Source organism: Homo sapiens, chromosome 2, assembly GCF_000001405.40.
Source record: "Homo sapiens chromosome 2, GRCh38.p14 Primary Assembly".
Lineage (NCBI taxonomy): Eukaryota > Metazoa > Chordata > Mammalia > Primates > Hominidae > Homo > Homo sapiens.
In genome coordinates this window covers 54,296,703-54,307,888 of record NC_000002.12, presented here as the reverse complement: position 1 = coordinate 54,307,888, position 11,186 = coordinate 54,296,703, and the positions used below count along the sequence as shown (strand labels likewise).

The 11,186-nt window shown below is 39.0% G+C and overlaps 1 protein-coding gene across 5 annotated transcripts in view; it reads right to left on the bottom strand.

Moving 5' to 3' along the window:
* Positions 1-2,588: 2,588 nt before the first annotated feature.
* The window catches only part of ACYP2 (acylphosphatase 2), a 334,188-nt gene continuing 325,590 nt past the window's right edge, over positions 2,589-11,186 (bottom strand). For all 5 annotated transcript variants that reach the window (NM_001320586.2, NM_001320587.2, NM_001320589.2 and 2 more), the window contains one exon: positions 2,589-3,201. In NM_001320586.2, coding sequence (NP_001307515.1) covers positions 3,087-3,201 — 115 coding nt within the window. In that variant the 3' untranslated portion in view covers positions 2,589-3,086. The remainder of the gene's footprint in view (positions 3,202-11,186) is intronic.

The window sequence follows — 11,186 nt, the reverse complement described above, 5'->3', positions numbered from 1 at the left end:
CAGCCTGGCAACAGAGCGAGACTGTCTCAAAAAAAAAAAAAAAAAAAAAAAAAAAAAAAAGGCCGGGCACGGTAGTGGCTCACTGAGCGCCTGTAATCCCAGCACTTTGGAAGGCTGAGGCAGGGGGATCGCTCGAGTCTAGGAGTTTGAGACCAGCCTGGGCAACATAGTGAGACCTCGTCTCTACAAAAAAAATTAGCCAGTGTGGTGGCATGCACCTGTAGTCCTAGCTTCTTGGGAGGCAGAGGTGAGAGGATCACTTGAGTCCAGGAAGTCGAGGCTGCAGTGAACAAATATCATGCCACTGCACTCCAGCCTGGGCAACAGAGCAAGACCCTGTCTCAAAAACAAAAAGATAGATATTTTTGTATAAGTGTGAAAAATAATATGATTTTAGAAATCACACTTCTCCCCTAATTCTGATATGTTGCATCTTGAGGGGAACAGCATGGGCACATGGAGTGTTGAGATCGCAGGTTGATAGTCACTGAAATGTAGGTATCCAGTTTTTGCTTAATTTTTTCTTGGTTTCTAAAATGTCTAATTCTGATACAAATAAATGTATCAAAATTTGTTACCTAAAATGTATGTAAATTAAAAATTCACTGTGTAAATTCAACATGAAATTTGACAAGTTTACCGTTGAGATGTGTTACCTGGTCCCCATAACATATTTTTATATTGCTTTATCCTGATTTCTCTTGCTTTCTACCCACTCCTGAACACCTATTTTTCAATCATTATCTACATTTTTCATCAAGTAATAGAATTTAGTTATGTACTAATCATTAAGCAATCTTGACTAGTGTGATTCACTTTGTGCAGTTAGAAGATTGTTCTAGTGAAGTGTGATTTTCTTATGAAGAAAGCTGGGAAGGGAGCTACCAAAGGATATCAGGATAATAAGAAGTAACATATTGGTGTCACTTCTGAGATCATACATTTTTTTCAATCACTTAGCCTTTCTATGTGTGGAGAGATAGAGGTTTTGTTTTCAAACTTGTGGGTGAAAAAAATGTCTATTTTATTTTCTCCAAATCAAAGCGAGCCTGCTTCAAGCCTCATCCTGTCTGGAGGTGGATATCTTAGTCATCCCTGGTGCTTTGTTCCCTCTCTCAGAAGCAGCATGCAAAGGGTTATATGCAGAGAAAACATTAAGGAAATACCTCTCGGTGTCCAGCGCATACCAATTGCTATGATCACTGTTCAAACCACCATGGTCCCTTGTAACCACCCTGGTGTTTGTAGGATGCTTTGAAGCATTTTTGGGGACAGGAATCCTGCTAATGCTGGAAGCCCCTGGGCCTGGGATCTAGCTTCTCTGGGAACTACAGCTGCTTCCCTTTCAGGTTTAGCTATAGGTAGAGGTGCCACTGGGGAGAAAGGTGCAGGTCTCCATGACTTGGGTAATCCACAGCCTTTGGTTCCTTTCCAAAGTCTTGGATAATCTCCTTGTCTTCTTTGGCTCTCACAACTTCTGCTTCTCTTTTACCCCCTAAAAGCCCAGCATTTGTCTTTCTCCTCAACTCACAGGATAATGCCCTCTTTAAAATGAAATTTTGGAAGAAAGGTTGTCTTCAGGGGGATCTGGCACCCAAAGCTTCCCCTGAAATAAGGGAACACAAAGACTTGTCAACCTTTCTTGAATCAGGAGTGGGGAAACAGAAGGAGAGCAAAATCCAAAAGAACATCTCAATAGCTTCTCCTGCGTGACATTTGAAACATGTAATACTTAACATGATGATGGTATTAGAATAATAGGAAAGTTCTTTAGTCCTTTATTTGGAAAGTCATTCCCTAATGTTGTGTTGTTTTATATACATTTGATAACAATATTATCATCAAGGAGTTAACCTTTCCAATGAACAAACTCACCCCCGCCCCCTTCATCTCTCCTCATTTCTTATCTTGCATAGGTAGAAGAGAAAGAGGCCTGCATTCGTTCTCCAGGCCATGGAGGATAGCAATAGAGATTTGTTCCTTAGATAGAATAGTAGTTTTCAAAGTGTACTAGCAAGGTATTTGAAACTGTCCAAGTAGAGAAAGGGACACCAAGTATGCAAGGCTCTGGGGACGCCCATCTCCACTTTATTTTCACCAGCTGTGCTTTGTTTTTGCTTTTTTTAAAAACTTACGTATTCAATTCTATATAAAATTTTGGTTTAAGGAAGGATTCCATTGATATAAAAAGTTTGAAAATCATGGAATATGTGCAAGTATATGCCTACAACACTTGAAATTCCCCAGTGTTTTTCATTAAAGGTCTTCCTTTTTTAACATTATCATTTTATGCTATAGAAAAAACCTTCCCCTTTAAATTCTCCATTGCTTTATCAGTTACATGTGAAGCTTCCCAAGAGATAGGCCAAGTTTAGGGGACAGTATTGTATGGATTCATTTAGACTCTCGGTTTCTTTTCTGGTTAATAGGACATCTATTGTGGGTGGTGGTTGAAAATCTTGCTGCTTGCTATACTGAAATTGCGAGTTCTTGTTAGCCACCATCATTCAGCCTGAATGTTCACTGCACACAACAATATAGAAGGCATTAAAGTAGCTCCAACCAAATAATGTTCACATTAACCAGAATTTTAAAACTCTTTGTTGATAATATTTTATGGTTATATTGATCATCACATTTATTTCTAATCACTGGTTCTTTTTGAAGAGTTTAATAACAAATAACCGTAGTAACAAATTATTCAGAGGATTTTATAATTCAACATAGACAACAGTATATGAAAATAATTTTTAAATGGTTAACTTTATTTGATGTCTCGCCAAATAACATATATATGCTGTAATGTTCATTGAAATTAAAGATTCCATGAGACAAGTTTAAATTAAATGTTCACACTAAATATTTTGTAATGACATTTTAATCTTAGAATACTATATTTTTGCTTGTTGAAAACATAGTTGAGTAAAATTATTTCAGTGTCAGACATTTTTAGTAGCACGTACAGTCGCTTAGCTTTCAGAACAGAAAGTTCCTTTTCACCCTACTCTGCTACTATTATTCTAGTATACATAGTCTTAAGAACATACAGTATCTATTGTTCAGTGTGTTACAATTTTTCTCTTCTATTAGTATCTAATACTAAAATTAGAGTATTCAAGCTTAGAGATGGTTTTTTCATTAGAAAAGTTTGTGCGGTCAATGCGAGAACTAGGGCTTCCAACCTTGCTCAGCCAGGACTTCCTATAAAAAAACAGATAAATAAATAAAATTAGCATACAAAGTATACATGGATCAGCTAAAATGAGCCCACAGTAGGTATTAATGGGAGTTTACCTTTACTAAGTAATTTTTGCATATATGTGATATTTAAATTTGTTTACATTGTATATATCACTCTAAGAATACCACAGAGTATAATGTATAATTAAATACAGATGAAGAAAATCTAATAAATTAAGCACAGTCAATTCCTGATGATTTTATATTAGGGTTATCTCCCCCACCCGCCAACTTAAAACACTCCAAGGCCACTGTTACCTGGCTCTTATACTCAAAACGATCAAAATATTTTTATAAGGAGCTTAGTAATAAAAACAATTCACTATTGTTTCCTCATTACTCAGCACGTGGTAGATGTTTCATGTATTTATGTGTATATAGAGAGATACATATATCTCTACACACACACACACACACACACACACACACAGACATATATATAATGAAAGAGATCCATACTTAAAGAATAAAGAAGAAACATAATTTTTGAAAAATATTAAGAAAAAATGCTCATCTACTTTTATCTATTCAAATACTGTTTCTTACCACATATATTAACAAAGTGATTGCATTAAAGGACAAGTTGAATGCTCTGAAATATTTTTCTTCTTATTTAGTGCAATGGTTTATCTTATTAGTGATATCCACACATCTAATTTATGCATTAGGTCACTTACCCAAGATATTTCCTATATAGTTCAGGCCTATTGTATATTGCTGACATCTCAGATAACACTGAGGATTTTCCAGAATCTTTCTACCTATTACTAATTAGCTGGGACTTTAGGTTTATAAAACAAGGCTGTTTTATACAAATGATGGCTGTTATCTCAGTTGCTGTTGTAGAAACATCCTATGAGTTTCCTCATATCCCCAAATTATTTCAGGTTGTGAAGCTAGGGCTGTAGACAGCTATGCAGTATGATATGTGACAATCTTATATAACTTTAGATTTAAAATATTTTCTAGGTTAGCTGAAAATTACTTTTATAGAGAAGAATTCCAATGATTCAAATTGCTATTGTGCTTTTTAACCCTTTATTTGGATCTTATCTGTGACAGTTTTACTGGGTGAGATTAGTTTGGACTTCTTTCTCTTTAGCTCATTTAGGTAAAACCTTTAAAATGAAAATTTCATGTGTTGAAGAAAAAACTCAGTTCTTATGAAAAGGAACTGATAGCTTCAACTTTACTAGCCACGTCTTCTTGAAACCTCCTAGAAAACTGACGCCACAAATAATAATGAAAGCTAAAATTTATTAAGCACTAACAACTTTTTTTTTGGAGGGGGGAGGGTGCAGACAGGGTCTCACTCTGTCACCCAGGCTGGAGTGCAGTGGCATGATCATGGCTCACTGCAGCCTTGACCTTCAGGGCTCAAGTAATCCACCAGCCTCAGTACCCCAGGTAGCTGGGACTACAGGCACGCACCATCACACCTGGCTAATTTTTTTGAATTTTAGTAGAGACAAGATCTCACCATGTTGCCTAGGCTGGTCTCCTGGCCTCAAGCAATCCTCCCTCCTCAGCCTCCCAAAGTGCTTGGATGACAGGTGTGAGCCACCATGACTGGCCAAGCACTAACAATTTGTTCGGCACTATGCTAAGTTCTTTACATGTCTTATCTTTTATTCCACACAAGAACCCTGTAAGTCATAGGCTATTATTGCCCCCAGTTATTGATGAGAAAAGAGAGACACTTAAGAGATAGTAACTTGCACAGGGTGGTTAGCAGAGTGGTTGTCAGGAGGATTCAGATTCTGAGTATATTTTGAAGGTATAGTAAAAGTAGATTTGCTGACAGATTGAATGTGGGTGTGAGAAAAGGAGAGGAGTGAAGGATGACACCAGAGTTTTTGGTGTGAGTAACTAGTTGGATAGGGTTGTCATTTACTGAAATGGAGAGACTGTGAGAGGAGCAGATTTTGGGGGAAGGGGAAGATCAGAGGCTCAGTTTTGGAATGTTACATTTGAGATGTCTGTTAGACATCCAAAGCGAGATGGTGAGTAGGCAGTTGGACCTATGAGTCTGGTTAGAGGATATAAAATTTGGAATTTGTCAGCAGATAGAAAGTATCGAAAGTTATAAGATTGGCTGGGATCATCAAGAAAATGAATCTAGATAGAAAAGATAGGTCCAATGACTGTACTTTGGGGGTTCTCCAATGTGAAGTGCTCAGGAAGCAGAGGAAGAACCAGGAAAGGCAGAGAAGGAAGCATCCAGTGAGGTATGAGGAAAAACTGGTGCCCAGGGAGCCCAATCAAGCCCTCAGGAAGTAGAGAGGGATCCACCAGGCCAATGCTGCTGGCAGGGCCAGTGAGGTGAGAAATGAGAACTGGCCATTGTGTTTAGCAACGTCGATGTCACCTGTGACTTTGGCAGGAGCAGGAGCAGTTGTGGTGGCATGAAAACCATATTTGAATGGGCTCAAGAGAATGAAAAGGGAGAAATTGAAACCATGGAATCCAAGACTAGGGCTACTGGGCATAGGAACTGGGCAACGACTAATCCACCTGAGCTGATAACTCAATGTATTGACCTAGTTGAGATACCTGCCTGTATCTTGTCCTCAACATCATCAGGGACTTCTTCCCCAGCCAAAAGTATGGCCTGGGAGGAATCTATGCCACTGATGGGGCAGATGGTCATGGTGTTGGGAGACTGAGCTCTGTTTACCCTGTGGGGAGGATGGCCACTTTGTGTCATGGCTCCATATATGCTTCCCCTGTTGCTAGGAACCACCCTGCCTGATCTGCCTCCTCAGCTAGGAGTGTTCTGGTCACCTGTCACTTGGCAGGCCCTGAGACCTGACTCTCAAGTGCTGTTTTTGCAGTCAGTCTTTGGTAAGTGTGGCTGAGGTCTAAAGATGGCAGAACTAAGAGTTCTCCAAGCAAAAAAATAGTCACAAAATTTCACAAAATTTATGTCTAATGAGAAAGAGTGTGAAATATATGTATGTACGTGTATATGTATACATATACAAACACGTGTGTATGTATACATATATATAAAATCACTCACCCTTAGTGTCAGAGCCACATAATCAAACAGTACTAGTTATTACAATTCAGTAAATATTTAAGTAGGACTTTACGCAAGTCATTCTAGATACTGGAGGGCATACATAGAGATTTAAAATGGAATTCCTTTCCTCAGTAACTTACATTCCAATAGAAGAGTTTGGAAAATAATAAAAATGGCCATAATGTTAAGGCAGAATATGATAGGCAATGTGATTTATATTATATAAAGGGAGAAGGGAATTGGGGGGTTAACTCTGGTCAAGGTACTCAGAGACATCTTTGTGAGAGCAATGACATTTGAGCTAAGTTTTAAGGAAGACATTAGTGTTTTGGTTTTTTTCCCCAAATCTTAGAATGGGAAATGCCAATTTAAGCCTGACAGAAAACCAAGAAGCACAGGAAAAATGTTGGTAATGTTAGCAAATTTAAAAAATGCAAAACATTTGAATGGCCAGAAGAAAGTCTTAAAGCCAAACAAACAGCAAACTGAAACAACTTATTTGCAACTTTCTTACTATACAAATGGTACTTGAAAATTAATATACGTATGGCATATGGTATATTACCAATATGTATGGCCGTGCAATAGAAAAATGGGCAAATAACACAAGCAAATGAAAGGGAAAGGAATATAAATAGCCAGTAAGTAATGTGTAAAAACATTCTCACTCATACTCATAATTTTTAAAAATACAAATAAAGCAAGAATAAGCCACCATCTGTCACTTATGGAATGGGAAGATTTAAAAGCTTGATAATATCCAGTAGTGGCAATTAGGGTGTAGGAAAAGAGGCACTTTTCTACATTGGTAATGGGAGTGCAAAATTGTACAGCTTTTTGAAAGGGCAACTTGGTACTACCTAACAAATTATTAAAAGTCCTTGTCTTACAAACATACTGTCATAAGGAGGGTACCCTGGGATACAGGCTCTGAGATGATTAGCATGCAGGAAGTTAATTAGGGAGTGCTGTCACATTTAACAATTTGTGGAAAGCGAGGAAAGGAAAGGAGACAAGATTGGACTAAGGGAGAAGCTGGGCAATGATGCAGTCTCAATGAAGACCTTAGCCAAGACTTAAGGAGCTCTGAAACTGGGAAGACCCTTCACAGTTGTCTCAAGGTGAGAGGGCTGGTCTTTATATTCCCCACATTAACCCAGTTGTTAGAGGAGAGCTGCCCAGGGAAGAATACATGAACTCTAGTGAGGTGACTTTCTTCTGCTGAGGCAATTCCTGAAGAAGGCTGATGGCTAAGGGCCATCTTCCAGCAGCATTCCTGGCTTCTGGGGGACTGAATCCTTCAATCTTGAAAGGGAATCTGAGTGGTAGATCAGTGTCCACTACACATACTCTCATAAGTAGGCAAAGGGAATGAATTGAAGATTCGAGCAAAGGAGTGGTAATTGATGGAACAAGGCCCAGAGCTGTCAGAAGAAACAGGATCAAGAGATGAGTGGACTCATTAGGTATAGAAAAGAGGACATATTTTCTCTGTATGGAAGAGAAGACAGTGGATTTTAAAAATTGGAGAGCAATTTGGATAGGGAGAGGCATTCACATGAGATAGCTTTCATTTTCTCAGTGTGAGGGAGGTAAGGTAATTTAATGAGAATAAGTGGGGTGGAGGAAGAGTTGAGGGATTGAATAAAGTGAAAAGGTGTAATAATCACTAAAGGAGTTGACAAATGTTAAAGGAATTGTGAAAGAGCATTGAGGACCCTTAAAGTTAGTCTAGATGGCCAGGGACCTGCAAACACACCTGCCTGCAATGCAGTGTGCTCTTCAGGTGCCTGTCCTGCAAGCAGGGTCCAAACCACTGGGGCCTGGGATCAATGCCTGGGCCAGAGTTTTTTTCAGCAGGAACAATCCATTTCAGAGGGCAGATTTAACAATTCAGTCAGATGTTTCCCGGAGTGGGTGAAGGAGTGTGAGCCTCCCCATCCACCAATCTGCAATGGATTTCTCTTTTGCCCTACTGCTGAGCTGTGGTCTTAGGTTTTCTTTTTTTTCTTTTCTTTTTTTTTTTTTTTTTGAGACAGAGTCTCGCTCTGTCGCCCAGGCTGGAGTACCACGGCGCAATCTGGGCTCACTGCAATCTCCGCCTCCCAAGTTCAAGCAATTCTCCCACCTCAGCCTCCTGAGTAACTGGGATTACAGGCATGCGCCACCATGCCCAGCTAATTTTTGTATTTTTAGTAGAGATAGGGTTTCACTGTGTTGGTCAGGCCGCTCTCAAACTCCTGACCTCGTGATCTGCCCGCCTCGGCCTCCCAAAGTGCTGGGATTACAGGCATGAGCCACCGTGCCCGGCCAGTCTTAGGTTTTCTAGGGTGACCATTGCATCTGGGAGCCTCTGACGTTGGTATCTTGATATCTTTTTCCTTGGACTGGTCATATTCTCCAGGGAAGATACACCCTATTTCCTGCCTAGAAGCTATGAGTCTGGTTATGTGTGCTTTAAAAATCTGGGAAGAAGGTTAAGGCCTCAACATTCCAGGGATTAACTTTCACTGAATCCCTGTCTTCAGCACTACATCATTTTTTCAACTGTGTCTATAAAAGTGAAACTCTGGCTGGGTGCAGTGGCTCACACCTGTAATCCCAGCACTTTGGGAGGCTGAGGTGGGTGGATCAGTTGAGGTCAGGAGTTCAAGACCAGCCTGGCCAACACGGTGAAACCCCATCTCTGCCAAAAAATAAAAAAAGTAGCTGGGCATGGTGGTGTGCACCGTTAAGTCCAGCTACTCAGGAGGCTGAGGCAAGAGAATCGCTTCAACCTGGGAGGCAGAGGTTGCAATGAGCCGAGATCACACCACTGCACTCCAGCCTAGGCGACAGAGTGAGTAAGACTGTCTCAAAACAAATGAACTCTGGCTTCTGCCTGAGCAGACAGGGCAGCTGCTCTCCTGTGTGACATGGGGCACAACTGCTTAGTAAGCAGATTTGGAATCAGTGCTTTTATTTTTAGCCCCACCTTCATGCCCACTTCCAGTAGCCTGAGCCTTGAGGGATTTCCACTGTGTTAACTGGACCATTTCTCTGCTTTGGTAGCCTGCAATGCTTACAATCAAATTTGCATTACCACCCGCTCATCTGCTTTCTAGTTTCCAAGGTTTTATTGCTGTAGCTTTATCTCCCGTTATTTGTCCTTGTGGGTGTTTTTAAGGGTTTTTAAAAATCATTTTTACTGATACTTAAGTAGGGTTGAGGAGGGAGCAGAGGCAAATGCATGCGTTCAAAATATGCCATCTTCATATAAAAGTATGGCTTTATCCTTTAAATCTTTCATAAATCTGGAATTATGTGATTGCCTTATATGAAAAAGATGTCTTAATTTTGAATAGACATTTCCTCCTGCATCTTTTACTAAATAATTTATCCTTTTCTACAGATTCCAAATGTAACTGTTACACTAAATTTGTGCATATGCCTGAGTCTGTTTATAGGCATTCTATTTGGCACCATTGATATATTTACTTAATCCCTAAACCAGTACCAAACTATTCTAATTATTATGGTTTTAGAATATAAAACCAGTACCAAACTATTCTAATTATTATAGTTTTAGAATATATTTTAATGTCCATTAGTCCCTATACCGCCACCTCATTATTCTTCTAGTTTTAAATGTCCGTGTTTGTGTCATACATTCTATTAGAGTTTAGCATAATTTCATCCAGTCCTTTCACATCCCCTTTTAAATCTAAAAATAATTTGGAGAAAAGTGGCAATTCTAACATTTCAGCTTGTCCTCAAGAGTGAAAATTTTCTCCAGTTTTGCTCAAGTCTTTAAGTTTCTCACTAAAATTTTATAGTTTGTTTAATTCAGGTCCTGTATATTTCTTGATAAATTTATACTCATATTTTTCTTGCTATTTTGAACAAGATGCTTTTTAATCATTATGTTTTTAAACAAGATACAGGAAAACTAGTAATTTCTTGTATTGTAATCAGATGCCTTACTGAACTCCTTTAGTAGTATAATAGTTTCTCTTTTTCTTGGGGTTGCCAGTAAACCACTCCATGTATTTTTCCTGAATTATTTTCCCCAAATTCATTCTGTTAGTCCATTTTATCACATTGGCTGGACTGGATAATTTTTTTGTTTGTTCATTTTTTGTTGTTGAGATGGGGGTCTCACTTTGTCACCCAGGTTGGAATGCAGTGGCACAATAATAGTGCACTGTAATCTCGAACTCCTGAGCTTCAGCTATCCTCCCATCTCAGCCTCTCAAGTATCTGGGACTACAGGAATGAGCCACCATGCCTGGCTAATTAAAAATTTTTTTGTGTGTGGAGATGGAGTCTCAGTATGTTGCCCAGGCTGGTCTTAAACTCCTGGGCTCAAGTGATCCTCCCACCTTGGCCTCCTAAAGTGTTAGGATTACAGGTGTGAGCCACTGCACTCGGCCAGATAATTTCAAATTTCTTAGGCTATCCAGTCAGTTTGACTACTTGCCTTTCAGAAAATTTCTACAGTAAGTGTGCAAAAGAATGAAAAAAAAAAACAGGAAAAGTGTTCACCCACCCAAGGAGCCAACACAACCACAATACACTGCTCTGGTTCCAGCATATTTTACCTATTAGTTTAGCTTACTCAATAAATATTGAATGGATGGATGGGTAGATGGATGAATTATATTTGCTTGAATGTCCCATTGAAATCTAGTATTTCTGCGGTAAATCTGAATCAGTTTTGTGTGCATATATCTTCCAGGTATTTCTATTTAAGAAGGGTGATCCACTGATAAGCTTATAAAAACAAAAAAGAAGGTTCATCTAGTAAAAATGAAAGAATAATAATGTAAACTGGAAACTTCTGTTGATAGAAGTCAGGTTATTTGATAACCATGTGTCCCTCTTCACTCTAATATATTTTACATGCTTATGTAGAGGTTTTGAAAATGAAACTAATTTTTGT